Here is a 21774-nt window from a genome sequence, read left to right as displayed (position 1 = left end):
GTCTTAGAAGAGTTATTACTGTCCAAATAAATTTTCAGCGATGATGGAAATTTTTATATCAGCACTGTCCATTGTGGTAGCCACTTGAATGTGCCTCATCTGAGGAACTATATTTAATTTTATTTAATTGTAATTAGTTCAAGTAGGTACATGTGCTTAGTGGCTACTATATGGATAGCACAGCTCTAGAACCTAGGTCAACAGGAGCATCTGGATCACACAGGAGTATCTGGCTGTGTAGGAAGATTTTTGAAGCAATATCAGGCCTGGATATCTTCAGTGGAATCAATTTACAGATCCTTGACTTTCTAAACTGATGAGCCTAAGAAAGTGTCTGGGTCTGTTAGTGCTGCTTTCTGACCTCCTCTTTAATACTTGCTTTTTTACTGCTTTGCAAAAGAAAGAGTTATCGCACCTGTTCTCTGGGGGTGAAAATGTTTCTCCAGGTTCCAAAAGGACAGTGCTTTGCTCTTGAGAGGGAGAGCAAAGCAAAGAGAGAGGCTCTGTAAGAAATATTGATAAGGGGCTTGGGGTGGTGGCCAAGCCTGTAATCCCAGCACTTTGGGAGGCTGAGATAGGAGAATCGCTTGAGGCCAGCAGTTCTAGACCTGCCTGGGCAACATAGTAAGACCCTGTCTCTAGAAAAATATAAAAAATTTAAATTAGCTGGGTGTGGTGGTATGCTCCTTTAGTCCTAACTACCCAGGAGGCTGCGGCAGGGGGAATATTGATGAGGGCTTTGCTTTATTTTATCAGGACAACAAACTCATGACAGAGCTCTGAGGCCTGCTTGCCTGTCTCCCTGCCTTAGACTTAAAATTCAGAGGTGGCAAGGGTATCACAGGGACAACTCAATACACTTATTTGAATTAAATTAAGTCTGACCTTTTCTAAAAATGTCAGTCTGATTTGATTGTTTTCTCACTGAAGACTGATTTCGCCAGTTGAGTTACGTAATAAATATTTCCATAAATGAGCTAAATTAGTAGTTTCAAAGTTCTTTCAGATATATAAATGTATTTAAGAAAATCGACCTTTTGTGAGTATTTAAACTTCTGATAAAATTGTTAGGTATCAATTTAAAAACATGCAAAGGGGCTTATAGTTTTATTAGTTCTTCTGGTAGTACATAAAAGTATGTGAAAACCACTCCTCCAAATTTTAGGAGCTCTTGGATATTGATTCTAACCAGTCTTACTTATGTTGATGTTGCTTTTAATTTTCCTTCACTATTAACATAAATGTCCAAATTGGCCAAATCTTCTGAATGTTCTTCAGAAATAAAGGTACTCTAGTCAAATAATTATGTAACATTCCACACAATCTTGGTGCATCACAATGCACATTAAATTAAAATAAGACTTAAAGTTCTGCAGTAGAGAAACCTGTTTAACCCAGCTTTTCCCTACCTTATATGGCTAGTGTAACCTTTTTTTGTAATATGTTTAACATCATGGAAGCACTGATCTGTGGCATACTTAGCCCTCTAACTGAGGAGTATAGTAATGTTTTTCTAACCTTTGAACAATTTAATCTCCCATGTGTATGAGTATCACCTTTTTATATAACCTTTCTGAGGAAAGTAATACTTCTGATTTTTTTAATTCTGTAACTGAACACATTGAGAAATGGATAAAAAAGGAGCATGTAGGAGAACTTAGATCTTCATTAGATCTTCAACTGAAATGGTTACGTTGATAGAGCATAATTCATTTATTGTTAGAACTTTCTTTTGAGTAAGTGGTTTTCACCTAAAATGTGATATATTTTATCTAAAATGTTTATATTAAGAGCATTTAACTGTACTTCCAGAAAAAGGTAATTTCTGGCATGAAAATTTCACGTTAAAAATAAAATTATTTTTTATATCAACAGAAAATGGTGGCTGTCCAGCCAACAGAAGTGGTCAATATACTCAACTGTTTCACTTTCAGTAAAGACAAACTAGTTGCTCTTGAACTGTTAGCCTCGTAAGTATTTCTTTTTTTTTTTTTTTTTTTTTTACTTGGGAAAAAATGTAGAAGCGTTTTAAGTGTCTAATTAGTGTGTGTTAATGTGTCTAACAAAATACAGTCAAAAGCATAGTGGTACATTCTGATTTCCAAATGTGAATAAGTATCTAGTGTACTTATTACATATATGACTATAACTTATAAAATGAAGGGGCTTAACAAGATTGTTTAATTTGATTTTTTGTATTTCAGTTATTTGCTTTGCCTTCCTACTCTGAAAAGACAGGAATTTAAGAATTAGAGATTCTTTCACTTACTGACACAATAATTTTTTTTTTTTTTGGCAAGGTGCTTATTTTTTCTGAGCCTTATTTGCCTCAATTGTAAAAATAAGGCTCATACCCACTTAATAGGGTAATGAACTTTAAATATCAGAAAGTCTGTGAAAGCACCTACCACAGCATTTGACAGATGACCGTAATGAATGTAAGCTCAAAAAGACATGGAAAGAACCTACTCCTTTGCATAACTGAAGAATGTATAAGTTATTTATTTGTAACACATACATTTTTAAGTCCTTTTTGTATGCATAGGTGTCCATAAAAGCACAAAATTAAAGCACAAGATAAAACTATGCATTTAGCATAAAATGATTTTTATGCATTTAACACATGGGTTGGTTCTATTGGCATAGCTCTCCTAACTATCACTGAAGAAAGTATATTTTGAAAAATCTCAAAATAATGATTTTTATTTGCAGTATTACTGTTTTACTTTTCAGTAATCAGATAAACCTAAGTTATTATATTTATATATAAACATGTTATTTAAATTGAGCTGTTAAAAGTAAATAGTCACACTTTTCTCCCTATGTCATGGAGAACGCTTACTCAGATGTTTGTGTGGTAAACAAAGGTTGCTTACCTCGATGTATGTTCAGATTTTTAAACAAAAAGCTAAATTGTGTTTTCTTGGTAGGAACATTATTGATGCACAGAATTCTCGTCCTATTGAAGATTTATTCAGGGTAAATATGTCTGAGAAGAAACGGTGCAAGAGAATACTTGAACAGGTAGTTTTCTAAAGATTGTCATGTACTTGGTACGCTGGTTTTTCCGAATATTGAAGACGAAAAAGCACCTTTCTTCTTACTAACTTTGGTGAATAACTTGAATGCTGTTGTACAATGGGTTAAAAATGAACATCCCTGCGGTCTGCGGCGTGGAAATAGAGCTGGTTGATGGGGACATTCAAGGGGGAGGAGATGGCTTGAGAGTGAGAAGTCAGTTGGCCACTCAGCTTGAGCCTCATGGAAATGTTTGTGTCTTGGTCCCTTGGTACCTTTGCCATGGCTTCAAGTTTTTGCTTTAAACTTTATGTACTTAGGAACTTAACTTTTCAAATTTGCTTTGTTATCCAGTTTATTTTAAATCGGATTCATAAGAGGTCAATATTAAAGCCAGTTTATTAGTTAAAATTCCAGTTTATTAGTTAAAAATCTGTAAGAATGGGAGAAATAGTACTTGTCCAACCCTAGAAAACTTGATTTGTCATCTAAGGTAGTTATTTCTAAGGTAGGATTGCGATGTCTGGAAGCTGAATTAATTAATTAATTATGAGCCTGGCAGTTCAGTTGTATTTAATACTCACAAACTCCTTTAAGCCCAGGGATGGTAGGCAAATTCACCTTAGTCATACATTGTTGTAGAAGAGTTAAGATCTGAGCCATGTTTATTTACTTCAGTAACTTCCTTACCAGTTTTCTTGACTAAAACCTTTAAGGCAACATGCATATTACTGCTGTAGTTTTCTTTCTTATGAAGTGTTCCGATCGTGTCACTTTCCTTCTCAGAAATATTCTGGGCCTGAGTGTTCTGTAGAGTGGGCCCTCTGGTCAATATAAATTAGTACAACTTTTCTAGAAGGTAAACTTGAAGAGCCTTTACAATATTTATACCTTTTGGCCCCAAATTTCTACTTTTAGGAATTTATTTGAAGGAAATGTTGAAATATACAAATTTATATATAAGGGCATTCACCCCGGTACTCTTTATTATAGCCAAAAATTCAGATGATTTCAGGGTTGGGGTATTTAGTAGAGGGGCTGGGTTATATAGCTAATATACATATATGTGTTGTGAAGGGATTTATAAAACCAATATATAATAAAATACATTGTACATACTTGTGAATATATATATACACACACATATGTATAGCTGGATATTTCTATAACATAATATAGATACATTGGAATATATGTTGCCTAATACAGTGTTTTTTCATTTATTAATATGTATTGAGCACCAACTCAGTGTGTGTGCGGCATCATTTAGAAGCTGAGGATGCAGTAATAAACAGCTTAGACCTAAATCCCTTCCCTCACTATTTCTCATAAATATGTAATAGTATGTTGAACATTGTCTAAGTTGGTTTTTGAACGGTATGTAGGTCTTTGGACCACCCAATGTCATGTTACTTGTTTATGATGTCCTCCACTGGGTTGTAAAGAGCAGGGACCATGTTTCTTCCATCTCTGTGTCCTCCTTTCCTCAAATGTAACATGACCTTGGCATTTGTAGATTTGAACTGTTATTTCTTGCTAGTTGAAGAAATGGGACAGATTAGATAATAAACACTTTTTTACACAATTTACAAAATCTACTGTGAAGACATTCTTTGTATGAGTCTGTTGCAGCATTATTATGTTAACCATTTTAATTATTCCATTTAAATAAAGTGATTTTATTACTTTTGGTCACATTCACCACTGTAAGTGCTGAATTATGTATGAGCAGATTGAATGTAGTGCTGTTCTTTAATTCATGTTTTTTTTAGCTGAGCTCCCAATGTTCAGAATACTTATCTTTTAAGAATTTTTTTCCTACCCCTCTTCTTTCTTATATTACAGGCTTTCAAGGGGGGCTGCAAAGCTCCTCATGCTATGATATCTTCTTGTGGAACAATCCCAGGAAATCCATATCCCAAAGGAAGACCTAGCCGCATAAATGGAATTTTCCCAGTAAGCATACTTCTGTAGCTGTATATGAAACTTCTCATGGTTAAGTATGAAGTGTAGAATAAGTTAATGATATTTAAAGGAAAGGAATTTTATGTCGGTAACTTAATTCACAGGCTCACCACTGATTGAAAGTTCATGTCTAAACTTCATTAAAGTATTAAGGGTATCTATATAAAATCTATAGAACAAGACAAATAGAAGAGAGGATGATTTTATTTTTCAAAGTACTTTAGAAGCACTGATTTACATTTAGTAAAGGAACAGTTCTCAAATTCTCAGTATTCTTACAATCTCAGTTTCACTCAGTGAAGTGTGTTTGGGAAACTTTGCATACAGTGTTTCCTTCCTGGGGAATCGCATATAAAGGCTCTGAGAAGTACTATAAAAAAGAAACTTGTTTTTATATCATCTAATGTTCCTCAAACCTCTTTGTAAAACAGCTTTCTCAAAGAATGTTATATTTCTGTAGCTGCATAACAACCCCACAGCTTACTGGATTAAAGCAATAAATGTTTATTACCTCACATGGCTTTTATGGGTCAGGAATATTGGAACGCTTAGCTGGATAGTTCTGGTTCAGGTCTTTTCATGAGGTTACATTCATCTGAAAATTTGATTGGAGCCCAAGAATAGGGCCTCAAGGTGACTCGTTTACATGCTTGGCAAGGTAGTGTTGGTGGTTGGCAGGAGTCCTTTGTTGTCCACCACAAAGACTTTTTTGTAATGCTGCTTGAATGTCCTCATGACATGGCAGCTGGCTTCTACCAGAGCAAGTAATCCAAGCAAGAGAAGACAAGTGGAAGCTGCCTGGAAGTCAGATGCCATCCTTTCTGCAATGTCCCATGTGTTACACAGGTCAGCCCCATTCATTCTGGGAGGGAATGGTGCAAGGGCAGGTAGGAGATGAGGATCAGTGGGGGACATCTTGGGAGTTGGCTTCCACACTAGTATATACCATTTAGCCACACACAGTGTTAGGGCGATGACACACTGCAATAATCTATCAACTTATTCTGATCTGTTAATTTTAACAGTCTTGAATAAGGTCTCATTTACCCTTGACAATATAAATAATCACACTTAATCTTTATAGAGAACACCATTTTTTCTTATCTACTTTCAACTGTAACATAGGTACTCTTATTCTTTGAGTATTATACATACTGTGGCATTGGAAGTTCATTTCTGATTGCTCCTATTTGTGAAGAAGAAAAATCAGAACATACTGTATTCCGAAAAAAAGCAATAATACAGTAAAACAATGCAGCATAACAACTATTTACACGGCATCCACATTGTATTCGGTATTATAAGTAATCTAGAGATTATTTAAAGTATATGGGTGGATATGTTCAGGTTATATGCAAATACTATGCTGTTTTATATAAGAGACTTGAGCATCCATGTATTTTGGTATTTATGGGGGAGGTCCTAGAACCAGTCCCTGTGGATACCTTATATTTTCCTGTCATCCTCTCTGTGTTTTTCATGTTCACTTCTGAGTACCTTTGCATGTGATATGAGAGTTCCATAGCATAGGAGGATTGAGGACCTTATCAGGGTCATGCCGCCAGCCAGTGCAGAACTGAAATGGGAATGCAAGTCTTTACACTCTTACCAAGTCCTTTTCTTCAGTGTAATACAGTGAGGTTGGTTATTGTTACTGGTTTGAGGGTTTTTTTTTTAAGTTTCAATTACCTTTTTTTTTTTTTTTTAATAGGGAACTCCTTTGAAAAAAGATGGTGAAGAATGTACTAACGAAGGCAAAGGAATAGCTGCACGAATTCTTGGGCCATCCAAACCAGTATGTTTAGAAAATGATGAAACAAGCCCAAACTCCTTCCTACATAAAGTTTCCTTTTTACTCAAAGCATAAATTTTATTTTTGTGTTGCAAAGTTTGAAGTATTCTAGAAATTGTAGGAGAGTGAGAGAGTGAATGGATGAGGGAAACATAAATATTTAACAGTAGTAAGAGCCCCTTTGAGATTGAGCTTTTTATTTTAAAGTAGAATCAGTGAAATTGCTTTCAGTTTTTTTCTCGAGATGCATTCAGCTGCTCAGTTGGAGATACGGAGTGTGGAGAGCTTGTTTTAACTAAGTTTGTAGTTTAGCTGAATTAGTGTTAGTGAAACCACAGTGAAGTCACAGGTTGAAAGTATTTACAAGATAGTGATTATAATGATTGCAATGTAAACAGGACAGGAGAAGACAACCCCATGGGTTGAAGGATCTTTGGAGTTGAAGTACTAGAGGCCTGCATACAACCACCTTGCAAAACCTGCCTGTCCACATGACAAGAACTCCAGTGGAGTTGTTTATGGCAGAATAGTAACAGATCATGGTTCTTGCACAAGACTTCAGATAGGGCCACAATTATGGGAGCTGGAAAGAATCTGGCTCCCTTACCACCAGTGGGTCCTTTCCCCTGCCTCACAGGCATGCACATGCTCTCTCTGTAGGTAAAAAGTACAGCATCTGGCTTAGCTTCAGATACTTCCAGTTTTCTAAAGACCAGTGCTTTGAATGCTTTTTGTTACTTAGGTAAGCTCCATCAACTGTAAAATAAGTATTGGTGGATTTATGGATTTCAAAAGGCAGAACAACTAACATACTGAATTCCTGATTCCAGTCTATGTTCTACTGGAGTTGTCAGAATGCCAAATGCTAACGCAAACAGTGCTTTTTTCTTCTAAAAGGAGGAAAGAGGGTGGGAATGAGAGGATGAATTCCTATCAGTTTAGGAGGATGTTGCCATTGGGAGTTCTTGCGTAATTTGAGATTGTAAAACCTAGAAGGTTTCTTGTCTTTGTTATGTAGGAGGAAACAGGAATTCTTGGTTTAACTTAGGCTGGGCCTGGGAGGAGTTTGCTGTTTACAATGAGATCTAACCCCTTATTGGAGATGATTTTAAAAATCTCTGGCCACCTCTATGGCCATCTTTGGCAAGATCTGCATTTGGAATTTAATAGCAACCACATTTATTAAAGCAAAGAAATTTCCCTCATTTGTTGTCCCATGTAGTCCAGTAGTATGATATGCGGGGACATTTTTAGCATATTAGGACTAAATATTTTGAAAGACAAGTTGCCAGGAGACAGCTTACTTGATTTTCTTCTAACTGCTGTATTTTCCCCCATGTTTTAGCCTCCTTCAACATATAATCCACATAAACCTGTTCCTTATCCGATACCTCCATGCCGACCACATGCAACTATTGCACCAAGTAAGGAGTTCCCTTATTTTTTACTTGTTTTTCTTTTTTGCTGTTTATTTATTAAATTGAAAGTAAATGCTGGTCTATGTGGTTGGCAAATCTGTAGCACTTATGAAATGCTACTGTGAGCTTAATTATGCCCATAGTTAGCTAGTAGTGTCCTGGCCTACAACACTGCAGCAGATAGTTTATTTAGGATATTTTCTTTATGATAAATTAATTAGATTATTTTTAGTCATTCATTATTTATGGGTTTTCACTTTGGTAAATCATCTTGAATTCCTTTTTTTGGTAGTTGGTAGTTCAGAGGCATCATTCATGCATTTAACTTCAAAAAGTCAAGTATATGCGTTTGGCAGAAAAGACAAATAATGTAAGTATAGCAGGTTCTGCCTGCCATGCCATTCACTGAACTTATCCCTGCAATGAGCATGCAGTGGGAAATAGGAATCTCTGGTTGTTTCATTTGGTGTCAGTTTTCACTTAACTCTAGACATAAACCTCCATATAAAATCAACTGTATTAAATAGGAGTTTTTATAATAAATTGAATAGCTGCATTAATATAGTTTGAACTCCTAGTCACAGAACAATACCAGTCACAGAACAGTCCTAAGGTATATTTTTTTCTATTGTGTTTTTATTTTAGGTGCTTATAACAATGCAGGTCTGGTACCATTAGCGAATGTCATAGCTCCACCTCCACCTCCATATACTCCTAATCCTGTAGGAACAGGTAAAATGTTATTTGGGGGTGTTTAAGTAACTTATTCATATACAAATGTACACTTGGAACGGACAGTTGTTTGGCATGACGTATTCTAACAGAGGGAACACAAGCTCAAGAGTCTGAAGGATCTGGAAGTGAATCCTTGGTAATGTGGGACAGTTTTCATAGTCTTGATGGACTTCACTTTCTCTATTTGTAATATAGGCTAACATTTTAATAGCATCTGTTCAGTAACATGTTTAATGAATATTAGGTGACCCTATCATGTGTTGTGTGCTGTGGATACAGAGGTGCACAAAGAGTCATGTTTGCAAAGAGTTTAGTCTAGTGAAAAAATACAGATGAGGAAAGAGAAGGCCATTTCAATATATTCTACATTATTGGTTCTCAATTGCACATTTTTTATAGTTTAATTTCTCTGAAATTAGAATGTGATTTATAGCAAGTGGCATCTTAGATTCAAAGAGATGCGTTGGAATGATCAGTGCTGTGATAGGGTTAGGGTGCTATGGAAACTCATAGGAGAGGCATCCAAATCAGCCCCACTAAATTAAACGTGAGCTGCTTGCATAATATACTGTTAAAGGTTGTTGACCCAATAATGAAGCTGCCATTTAATTGAATTAAGTTAAGGAAGAAACAGGTGAAAACAGACTGATAATCAAATATGAGGAATGACAAAGCAACAGTGAGGTGGTTTCTCTGTAGCCTGAAACTACCTGGAGCACTTTTAAAAAAATACCTTTAGTTCCCCACTTGTAGAGATTCTATTCAGTGTATTGTGATAGGGGGTGCCTGGTATTTTTATTTTTTTTAATGACCTACTGGTGGTTCTTTAAGCAACTTTGGGAAATGCTAGAATTTGTGCACAGAGAACCCAAGAGAGATCAAAGTATCAACTTTTTTTTCAAGGATCTTTATTAAGTGCCAGATTGAAGAGAGCTGGGGGACTTTCTGCCTCTAAACTTTTATTAAGAATCTTTGGACACTAGGGTAGGCACCTTTCTGACTCAGCAAAGGAACTGTCAGAAACTGAAATTGATGGATGACTGTGTATGGAGTTGACAGCGGGATAGCAAAGAATACTCTGCACAAAGGCAGTTTATCACATGCAGATTAGAAGAGTAATTACTTGGGGAGGGGGTGAATTGGGTATCCCGTGCCTGTCAGAGGTAGGGCAGGAGCTGGAATTCAGCCCACTGTAGCCTAAGTTCCACGGCCAGTTGGCATGATTGTCTCCCCATTTACTTTGCTAATGACATAAAAGACTCCATTCAAGTGGCCTTGGGTCACATATGTAAACACAGGCTAGTTATGGGAAAAAGAACTATTTCTCATGAGTGGTAAAACTTTGACGTGCTATGGAGAAGTATCATTGACTTAATGAATGCCACCATTTGAGTAAATTATGCCTACCATGGAGAGGAAGGGCTCATAAAAAAGCAGTGAGAAGGACTAAAACACCCCAACACTTGCCAGGCCAACCTTTTTCAGTGGGTCTTTTGGTAACATGGGATATGAACAATGAATGGTTTCCCATATGTTGTCAAACTATTCTCCAAAAACCCTATACCAGTTTAAACCTGTCCATAAGAGTATATGAGGCTACAGTTTCTTCACACCCTTTCAACATGGAAGATTTTCATTTTTTTAACTTTGCCAGTCTGGTAGACTAATTTAGCTTACATTTTTGTTTGTGTTTTTTAACAAAAAATTAATTTTTATTTATATCAGTTGTTGTTTGTTTTACTCATGAGTTTGATGTGTTCTTTATTAAAATTCCACTGTAGTTATTTTATTATTATATACTAATTTTACTACCAGATTTGTAGTGTGTTCTAATGTTTCATAAGGCAGGCTCCCCCTTATATATTTTTGTATTTTTATTATCGTTAGAAATCTTCCATCTGAACCTTAAGATCATTTTCTGCAACTTAAAACAACAGGGGTGTGTGTGTGTGTGTACAGAGAGAGAGCTATATAGTAATTTCAGAAGAACTGACATTTTTATGATAGTAAGTCTTACCATTCAGTTATGTGTATATATCTTTATATCACGTCAAGCTGGTAGTGTTTTCTTCCCCAGGGTTTATTTTATTCCTTTCAAGAAGATACTGTAGTTTTCTACATGCAGATTCTGTTCCTTAAATCTGTCTATAGAATTTAGAGATATTTTTGGTTGCAATTATAAATAGAATGTTTCATTTCTAGGTGCTTATTACTAATTACCCTCTCTAGTTTTTTTTTTTTTTTAAGTCTCTTGAGTTTTCTAGATAGATATAAAATAATATCAGCTGAGTTATAGTCTTACTATAAAATATTTCTTTATTTCCTAGGCCTTATTCAGTAATAATATTGTCCTGACTTTATTTTTATTTCATAAAAAATATTTTGCCTGTACCTTTATTTTAAACTTTTTTCCCCTATGATTTTATTTGGTAGATTGGCTTGGTTTGTAAATTGTGTATAGCTGAATTTTTATTTTTAAACCTGTTAGACTTTTAATAGGAATTTTTATTAATAATAAAAATTACACATTTGTTCTTAGTCCTTCCATTTTATTTTTATTTTCATTATTCTTCTATTCCAGTTTTGTTTTTCTTACCTTTTGCTAAATTGTATTGGTCAAATTGCCATTTTGTTTTTTTAACAACTGTTCTCTCCTTGACCCCACCCAAACTTAGAAATTTTCTCTAATATCGCCAATGATTACCTTCTTATTCTTAATGGTTGTCAGTATACAAAAACTTAAAACTATTCTATATATCATTTTACTTCCATATTCTCTCCCTTTTTTTTTTTTTTTTTTTTTTTTGAGACAGAGTTTTGCTCTTGTTGCCCAGGCTAAAGTGCAGTGGCGCAATGTCGGCTCACCACAACCTCCGCCTCCCAGGTTCAAGCAATTCTCCTGCCTCAGCCTCCCAAATAGCTGGGATTACAGGCATACCACCATGCCTGGCTAATTTTTCTTTTTTTTTTTTTTTGTATTTTTAGTAGAGACAGGGTTTCTCCACATTAGTCAGGCTGGTCTCGAACTCCTGACCTCAGGCGATCTGCCTACCTCGGCCTCCCAAAGTTCTGGGATTATAGGTGTGAGCCACTGCGCCCGACCTCTCCTTTTTAAAATCAATTTGTATGTTTTGTTGGGATACTAGACATTTTTGCTTCTGATATTTAATTTCTTTAAAATTGCCTTTGATCATGACTTGTTACTGTTTCTTCTGTTTGTTTGATTCTTTGTCTTGATGTGCCTGTTATAATTTTCTTTTGGTAGAAAATGACGTGTAAGAAATTACTTCAGAAAGGACACATGTATAGAGTTGTGGATGGGAAATTTAATTCCAGATAATTTTCTTTATTGGGAACTTGGTCTCTTTCTGTAAGCTTACAAAGAATTTTTTTTATCTTTGGATTTCAGAAATTTTACCAGTATGTTTAGGTGTGTATCTTGTCATTAATCTTTTCTGGCATTCTGTAAGTTCTTTTGATGTGAAAACTCAAGTCTTTAAAGCTTAGGAAAATTTTGTTTTCGTTATTCTTTTAATTGTTGCATTTTCCTCTGCTTTTTTTCCCCTCCTCCTGCTACTCTTATTTTACATTTTCTGTATTTGCTTTCTAAGCCTATTAACCCATTCATTTATGACATCTTTTCCATTAAAAATTTTTTTTTGGCATTCTAAGTGATATTTGTTTCTTGTTTCCAACCATAGTTTAACTTTTAGTCATTTTATTTCTAATCTTTATTATTCTTTCCATTTATTAATTTGGAATCAGATTTTTATATGTAAAAGTCTTCTCTGCTTATTTCCCAGTAGTGTGTGTGTGTGTGTGTGTGTGTGTGTGTGTGTGTGTGTGTGTCGGGTTTTAAAAGTCCTTTTTCTTTAATTAAATCTCCATTGTTCTGGTGGTTATTTTTTGTCACCTCAGTCAAGCTCGTGAATTCCTCAAACAAGCTGTGGTTTTTCTTTGCTCACTATACCAGGGCGTGGAGGTTTCCTTTACACTGTATGCCTGTCACAGTATTGGTTTCTTGGGCAGTTATTGTCAAGCCATAAGAGGTTAAATTTTTCTCCCTTTGTATCCTTGGCTGATGGGCTGTTTGGATAGATCCTTTCCCTTGAGGAGTGTGCTTTGGGTTGTCAGTCTCACAGGCTTCAAGTTAGCCTCAACTAGGCTAGTTCTCCATGGTAATTCCTAATATAGGGCCTTTCCCAAGCTGAGTACAGCAAATGGGCAGGACAGTTTCTTTCTGTTGGCTTGGACAATCCACAGTGAATGGCAGCGAATTCTACACTTATTCATCCAGCTGCCACCTCGCTTCTCAGTCTTCCCACTCCTGTAGGCACTGGTACTCAGAGGAGCTGTCTGTCAGGTCAGCCAATGATAGTGGTCCTCTCTGCACTACAGCTGCAGGGTACACTTTCTCCTGGATGGCACCCTCAGGCCAGCATCTTTCCAGAAAGTGTTCTTGAATATAGTATATATGTAAAATTAACAGTGTGTATTTAAAACTTGACAAGCTAAGGTAGAGATGCTAGGGGATAAAAGAGCACTCACTCAGTTTCTGGTAATCCTCTTGCTCTTCAGATAGAGTAGTAAAGTATTAGTAGTAATAATAGTAGAGTTACTACTATTTTTATTTATTTTCCCATATGTGTACATTTTTTTCCTAACATAGTCCATAAATATTTATATCCTGTGTTTTTCTTTTTATCCAAATATCTGTTTATTATGGTGGCAAATATTTGATTAAAGTTTAAAATGAACTTTTATTTATTTTTATATAGAGAATGAAGACCTTTCGAATCCGTCAAAACCTATACAGAATCAAAGTAAGTAGCAAATTTGATCCAGAGATAACGGATATCTGTCATGGTTTGCTCTGTTATTCACTGAGAATAATTTGAGTATATTTGGAATGGTTATGTTTTAGGAAAAGTTTCTGGTTAAAGAATATAATTCATACTTGTTAAAAGTGGTTTACTAGTGTTACATATTATATACATAACATGAAATGCACGTGTTAACTGAATTTAAAATTAATCTTAGGACTTTTATACAATTTGCAAAACTTGCAGTGTAATGTAAGTACTGCGTAGCTTTGCATTCACATTCACTTTACATTCTGTGATACTGGAAACCTCATTTGTTTTTTGATATAAACACATGGGATGATAAAAATCCTTTTTGACAAATGCTAGTCAGATTCTATTTTTAGAGTTCATTATTTCAATAAGTATTATTAAGCATATCTTAATGTAGGAAAGAACAAGGGGCACCAAAGCAGAAAATGGAATTGAAAAATGAAAATGAAGTGTGTCCTACATAGTGCCTCCAGATGGCAGCAGTGCTGCGACGTTGTATTTTTCCCCTAGGTGATGATCTGTGTGGTCAGGAAGGAGAGGCTTTCTTGTATGAGACAAAACTACATCAGTTCTTGTTTAGCAAAGTAGCACAATAGCCTGACCATTGTAGTACATAGTTAGGAGTCTCAGTGGGAGAATTCCATTCCCTGAGAACAGTGCCTAGCAGGTGCTTCTCAGCTGGTAGTTTCTAAAGGAGGTAGCATAGTGGGGTGTAAAGAACACTAAGTGAAATGTCAGGACATCCAGTTTCTTATCCTGCCTCTGGCATCACCTAGTTTTGTGACCTTGAACAGGTAATTTAACTCCAGTGAAAAGGAGATTGAGGAAATTTCAGCTTTTATGTTCATCTTTATTATTTTATGTTCAAATGTTTTTGAAGGGAGTAATCAGGTTAGTTGTTGTAAGTACCATTGGCAGGAATAGCATATTGTTTTCCTATGTTGTACGATGTTAGCATGATTAAGATTTTATTTTTTCCTTTTGGAACTGTATTAAGAAACAAATTAAGACAAACTAGTATAGCAGTTAAAGACATGAGTCTGAAAGACCCAGGCTCAAGTCTTGGCTCCACCATGTAGTAGCTGCATGATCTTTTATCCAGTTGCTTAGTCATAGCAAGCCTCAGATTGCCCATCTGTCAAATGAGGGTGTTAGTTTCTATCTCAGAGAGTTATTGTGAGGACAAGTGAAATGATGGGCCTAACTTAGCACAGGGCTTGACAGATCATGTTTTATGGTTAATAACCAAATTAGATGACTGGAAAGTGCTGTTTATTATGGTATGTGGTTGGGATTTTTTTTATTTTTGTTCGTTTCATTTTTACCTGCAAGTGCTATGATTAATAATGCATAGCTTTTGCTTTATTAAATAAAAAGATCCAACAGAGGCTGCTATAAATAATACTCTAGGATAGCTTGGTTTTACCTTCAGATTTGTCATTAGCTACATGGTCTTCAGCATATAGTTTAATAAATAAGATAGTGATTTCTCAAATGATACCCAACACCTATGGACTTAAATACCTTTTTGGTACATTATTTACAAACATAAGATTAGGTATATATTCCTTATCCTTTTAGTTCTTATAAAAGAAATTAAGTACAAAAAACGTACAAATCCATTTTTATAGGTACTGTAAGTTTAAAATGATAGCTAGTCTTATTGAAACCAAATCACTGCTTACAACATTAATACGGTCAAGACTTAAGGACTTTTGAGTTTCAGTTTATGTACTTAAATATGACTGTCAATTTTCCAATCATTTTTTTTTTCTAAAACAACTACAAAATTTGTTCAGCCCAATGTGACACCCCTTGGCCTTCACATAGTGCAAATGAATTATGTATGTGTTGTTTACCTCCATTTTCTTCCTATTGTCCCTTCCCATCTATGAGTAGCATAGTGTATTCGTTGACCGTGTCAGCTTGCTTATGTCAAAAGAATCTTAATTATACATAAATTGTAAAATGTGTTAGTCCATGAAAATATTTCTCAGTTGGTTATCACTGCAACAGGAACATTCTCTACAACTGAAACAGAATTTGATGTGAGTACAGTATCAGATGATAGTTGTGTTTATGACATTAGCTACCTAAGTCATGATATCCCTTGACACCAAGATTATCACAGGTGGGGATAGCCATTGAATACATTCAGAGGGGAGCCCACATCATCCCCCAAAATGCTTATTATTTGTAGAGTTTATCAGAATAAAAATAGCAAACTCTAGAAATAGTGTTGGGAATAGTCCTTGAGTGGGTTTGGGAACTGTAGTTTGAGGTAATTATGATATATCCAGCCCAGCAGACGCTCATTAACTATGCAGGTGCTGTGTTCTGTGCTAGGTACTAAGACTATAAAGATGAATTAGACACAGCTTTTGCCCCTAAAGGAGTTGCCAGGTAAGGGTTAGGGGTTAATGTAGTGTAGAGCGGTCAGTATGAGCAAATGTATGGGGGTGGGGCGGGGCAACTGTACAGATGAACAATCTGGAATATTAAATTCAACTCACAGAGTGGCAACAAACAATACTGGAGAGCTGGGCATGAATCCTGGAAAGCCTTGTATGGCCCTGCAAGGGAAGCCATGTTCTGAAAGCTCCTATGAGGGGGACTGACTGACTCTAGATAAGTAGATTGAAAGAATTAGAGGTAAAGTCAGTGCAGCAGCACTAATCACAATTAAAATAAATGCTTTAATTTTTAAAAAGCGGAAAAACATGAAAGGACACTTCGCAAGCTTCTCAAAACTTCCTGTGATTTGGAGGGCTATTTTGAGCAGAGTCTAGACGAAAACTGGATCTGACTGGCTCCAGAGTAAAGATCTGAGAAATGGAACCCAGCAATTTAGATATTACAAGAGCCTGTTATACTTGTCATTTTTTATTTGGTATTTGTTAAATATTACAAAAATGGTTATGCTTTTTAATTCAAAATTTGACGTTTCAGCATGATGATACATTCTTGCCTTTTTTCCCCCTTCCATATAGCATTTTCCACCCCAGCAAGTCAACTCTTTTCTCCTCATGGTTCTAATCCTTCAACACCTGCTGCAACTCCTGTTCCTACTGCATCCCCAGTCAAGGCAATTAATCATCCATCAGCATCAGCAGCTGCCACCGTTTCTGGAATGAACCTGCTGAATACTGTCCTTCCTGTGTTCCCAGGGCAGGTCTCCTCAGCCGTTCACACACCTCAGCCATCAATACCAAACCCAACAGTTATCAGAACCCCTTCATTGCCCACTGCACCTGTTACATCCATCCACAGTACAACCACCACTCCTGTTCCTTCCATTTTTTCTGGCCTAGTGTCACTGCCAGGTCCTTCTGCCACTCCTACCGCAGCCACTCCTACCCCAGGACCTACACCACGGTCCACTCTTGGTTCCAGTGAAGCATTTGCTTCTACTTCTGCACCTTTCACTAGCCTCCCCTTTTCCACCAGCTCTTCTGCTGCTTCTACCAGCAACCCAAATTCTGCTTCATTGTCATCAGTTTTTGCAGGGCTCCCTTTGCCCTTACCACCAACATCCCAAGGCCTATCCAACCCGACTCCTGTAATTGCTGGTGGCTCTACTCCCAGCGTTGCCGGTCCACTTGGTGTGAACAGTCCTCTTTTGTCTGCGTTAAAAGGTTTTCTGACATCCAATGACACCAATTTAATCAACTCCTCTGCTTTATCCTCTGCTGTCACAAGTGGGCTGGCTTCACTATCTTCTCTTACTCTTCAGAACTCTGACTCTTCTGCTTCAGCCCCTAACAAGTGCTATGCCCCATCAGCCATCCCTACCCCACAGAGGACTTCCACTCCAGGGTTGGCCCTGTTCCCAGGCCTGCCGTCTCCCGTGGCTAACTCAACTTCCACTCCCCTGACATTGCCTGTACAGTCTCCTTTAGCCACTGCTGCATCAGCTTCCACGTCAGTGCCAGTTAGCTGTGGCTCCTCAGCCTCCCTTTTGCGTGGCCCCCACCCAGGTACCTCAGATCTGCATATTTCATCTACCCCTGCTGCAACAACTCTTCCTGTTATGATCAAAACTGAGCCCACAAGTCCTACTCCCTCGGCCTTCAAAGGTCCATCTCATTCTGGGAATCCCTCTCATGGCACTTTAGGTTTGTCAGGGACATTGGGCCGTGCATATACTTCAACATCCGTGCCCATCAGTTTATCTGCTTGCCTTAATCCTGCATTGTCAGGTCTCTCCAGCTTGAGTACTCCTTTAAATGGTTCAAATCCTCTTTCCTCTATTTCCCTTCCACCACATGGTTCCTCCACTCCCATTGCACCAGTATTCACTGCTCTTCCTTCTTTTACTTCTTTGACCAACAATTTTCCTTTAACTGGCAACCCATCTCTTAATCCGTCAGTATCTCTCCCAGGGTCATTAATAGCCACCTCATCTACCGCTGCCACCTCCACATCTCTCCCTCATCCTAGCTCAACGGCAGCTGTTCTCTCAGGGCTTTCTGCTTCAGCACCAGTCTCAGCAGCACCTTTCCCCCTCAACCTGTCCACTGCTGTTCCCTCACTTTTCTCTGTTACTCAAGGACCTCTGTCATCTTCAAATCCCTCCTATCCAGGCTTTTCTGTCTCTAATACCCCAAGCGTTACCCCTGCTCTTCCCTCATTCCCGGGGCTGCAGGCGCCCTCTACAGTCGCAGCTGTCACACCACTACCTGTGGCTGCCACAGCCCCATCCCCAGCTCCAGTCCTCCCAGGATTCGCCTCAGCATTCAGTTCCAATTTCAACTCCGCTCTTGTTGCACAAGCCGGGTATGTGGATAGTTTGGAAATAGGATAAAATTATTCTTCACCTAACTTGTAGTTCACATTTCATTTCAAGTCATCAAAATGAATGTCAAAATCTAAATGATGTTTTTCTGGGTGAAAACTTTAGCACTCTGAAATGTTTTATGAACCATGTTAAGATAAATGTATAAAATATTAATGCCTGTTGATACAATGTTTGGATTTGTATTTGATAGTTTTATTTATAAGACAGCAGAAAGGATTATATGCAAAACAGACTTACTGAATTTCGAATAATATACTTCACAGTAGAAAGATTCATATCAGGGAATGGCTGATTTTTATGGTCCTTCCAACAGAGGAATAAATTCTAAGGTTTTTGTTTTGTTTTTAACATTTTAAGATTGTATTTGACAAATATGGAAACAGTAGCTTTTATGTCTTGTCTGCAGTTAACTTGTTTTTCTGTCAATTGTTTTAGTTTATCATCTGGACTTCAAGCTGCAGGCAGTTCTGTTTTTCCAGGCCTTTTGTCCCTCCCGGGTATCCCTGGGTTTCCTCAGAATCCTTCACAATCATCCTTGCAAGAATTACAGCATAATGCGGCTGCGCAGTCAGCATTGTTACAGCAGGTAAGCAGCAATGGCTGGCATAAATTACATGGTAACATGTATAACTAACTTCTGTAGTGATAACATTGCAGTATCATTTGCGATATCCCAACATTGGCAAAAAATGGCTCTTAGCAGAATGCATAGAGATTTGATGATGATTACTTCTCTCCAAATTTGCAAATTTTGCTTGTCTTCTTTCAGGAGAGTAACAGAGGTGGTAGGATATAGTTATCTGTATGAATTGTTTTTCCTTCCTGCTTATAGATTTCACTTGATAAAATTTAAGAATCTATTCATGACAGTTAAATGTTAACTTGTCTTCTGTAATTCAAGCTTAATGATTGACCGTTAAAGCACATTATCTGTAGAAAACCTATTGACTTTTGAGAGAATATTAAATATTTTAATGACAGTTCTATGCATCTCCTTCACCTGAAGAAATTTGAACATTTTCTTAAAAATTTTAAGTGACTGAGCAGACTTTATTGTGCCTCAGAGTTTTGTCTTGTCTTTCTTTCCTATTCTGAATATCTCTGTGTGGCATGGGTAGAAGCAAGCGCAGGCTTGAATGAACTTGGCACTCTGCTAAACCACACGCTCTTCTTTCCATCAGGTCCATTCAGCTTCGGCTCTGGAAAGCTATCCAGCTCAGCCTGATGGGTTTCCTAGTTATCCTTCAGCGCCAGGAACACCATTTTCTTTGCAACCAAGCCTGTCCCAGAGTGGGTGGCAGTGAATACTTTTAACTTTTATTCTCCTTCAGAGCAACATCAGAATTGCCTGAGAACTGCAATGAACAATCTGACAAATGTGAAGCTGGCCAAAAGTCGGAAAATGAGAATGAGGGTAATCCTGGAGAAATTGTGACAACAATTTGAAAATTGTGGTTGCATTTTAAAGTGTGAACACTCCCCTATGTAAATATGCTGACAATAAATTGTATGGAGAATGGTATTTAAAAAGTGTTTGGAGACTTTTCACCTGTCCTATAAAATTTTGAATTGTGTATGTGATCTACATAGAAAGAATATTAAAGAGTAGGTTGAACTCTTTATAGCCGAATACAGCCTTAAATATGCTTGTATAGCATCCACTGGCAGAAGTAATAGTTGTGCCTCAGACTTGGGGGTTGCATGTGGCCCTGGGGGAGTTACTACCCTTGGTATGCATGAGCGGTTCCTATTAGCATCAGTGGGAACTCAGTACTCTGTATGTATCCACAAAAGGGAACTTGAGACCCACAGTTATTCTTAATTTCTGATATTAACAACCGTACATACTGCTGAATTTAACTCAAAATATTTCAGGTAAGTGAAAGTGGTGCTTAATGTAGACTATAGAATGACTTTCAGGTGTTTTCAACTGAAAGTATATATCCAGAACTGCATCCTTATAGAAATACAAGTAAGACTTAGGATAATTTGCCTTCAAAACAGTTTTCCTAATCTCAGCAGTATCCAGTGAGTGAAGAACACTTGACTGACTCTTGGGCCACCTCTGTTACTTACTGTACTATGGAAGCTCCTGGTGAATGTTTACAATTATGGGATGTAGTATTTCTATTTGTACTTTAAGTCAAATGCTTATATGAAATATGTGACAACAAATAGAGAAGACTGGCTCTGTTAGTAATTATGCAGTATGTACTCTATTTAAGGATCTGTGGTAGTATAACATGAGTGAATGTCATTAATTTTGAAGTAATAACTGCCACATGTGGGAAGTAGGGGAGTAAGGAGAATGAATTCCAATCTGTGATTAAAAGTGTAAACTATAGACTCTACTGTAGTACATTTCAGGATCTAGAAGTTTTACTTTTATAAAGATGGTGTCCGGAAGATGTTGCTAATGTATTTTACTTCAACATAGGGAACAAACTTTTTAAGTATATTAATAAACCTGTATGGTTAGTTTTTAACAGTTTTTTAAAATAAACTATGGATATGACAAATATTCTGTGTTTTACTAAGTGCTTGGATAGGCTTTCTAATTTTGTATACGTGCTAGAGTTAATTATTGAACATTTTTATCCAAATTTAGTTGTAACTCTGTTTATACTACTGATTGCTCATTCGTTTAAATGATATTTTAATGTAAAAGTCATAACCAACATATGAACAGACAGATTTATGTCTTTAAACACAGAATGTAAGCTATAGTTTAATCTGATACCAGTTGCTGGAAGTTGCCATTTGTTTTTCTTAAATCTATACCCATAAAACTTCTTTTAAGATTATATTGTGTTTTTTATATATGTTGACCATTCATTCAGAAAATAATTATTGAATGAGTAGTCTTGATACAATGTGATGCCACAACAAGGTGTATTTCTGCTATCCTATGAGCCCCTTGAAAAGAGGAGCTATATCCTATTCATCTTATAGATCCCTGGCCTCACACATAATTGGCCATTCAAAGGTATATATAAAAGTGAATGTTTTTAGAATCCTTGCACTAATTCGTAGAGGCTAGTTTTATGTATATGTTTCCCAACTATATGGGATAAGTAACCTAATTCACTAAAGAATCCAAGATGTAAGTCACATAAAAAGTGGTAAATCTGAATCAAGCATCTACTATGAATACTTCTACTACCAAGTGCTAAGAAAACACGAGAAGTGAGG

The 21774-nt window shown here is 36.8% G+C and overlaps 1 protein-coding gene across 4 annotated transcripts in view, besides 1 other annotated feature; it reads left to right on the top strand.

The window, feature by feature from the left end:
- Nucleotides 1-21386, top strand: part of PROSER1 (proline and serine rich 1) — a 28225-nt gene extending 6839 nt beyond the window's left edge. For 2 of the 4 annotated variants that reach the window (NM_170719.4, NM_025138.5), the window contains 10 exons: nt 1876-1970; nt 2931-3024; nt 4864-4974; nt 6695-6778; nt 8121-8199; nt 8839-8925; nt 13707-13751; nt 16775-18560; nt 19018-19168; nt 19764-21386. In NM_170719.4, the coding sequence (NP_733837.2) occupies nt 1876-1970; nt 2931-3024; nt 4864-4974; nt 6695-6778; nt 8121-8199; nt 8839-8925; nt 13707-13751; nt 16775-18560; nt 19018-19168; nt 19764-19886 (2655 nt within the window). In that variant the 3' untranslated portion in view covers nt 19887-21386. The remainder of the gene's footprint in view (nt 1-1875; nt 1971-2930; nt 3025-4863; nt 4975-6694; nt 6779-8120; nt 8200-8838; nt 8926-13706; nt 13752-16774; nt 18561-19017; nt 19169-19763) is intronic. The other 2 variants (XM_047430652.1, XM_011535239.4) reach the window with 1 other exon arrangement.
- Nucleotides 9845-10139: a silencer, noted in NCBI's record as "tiled region #13170; K562 Repressive DNase matched - State 9:DNaseU". NCBI's record gives its function as "represses a minimal TATA promoter and a strong SV40 promoter by Sharpr-MPRA in K562 cells {active_cell/tissue: K562}" and the evidence as "EXISTENCE:reporter gene assay evidence [ECO:0000049][PMID:27701403]".
- Nucleotides 21387-21774: the final 388 nt, after the last annotated feature.

This window comes from Homo sapiens, chromosome 13, assembly GCF_000001405.40.
Source record: "Homo sapiens chromosome 13, GRCh38.p14 Primary Assembly".
Lineage (NCBI taxonomy): Eukaryota > Metazoa > Chordata > Mammalia > Primates > Hominidae > Homo > Homo sapiens.
This window is presented reverse-complemented; position numbering and strand designations above follow the sequence as displayed.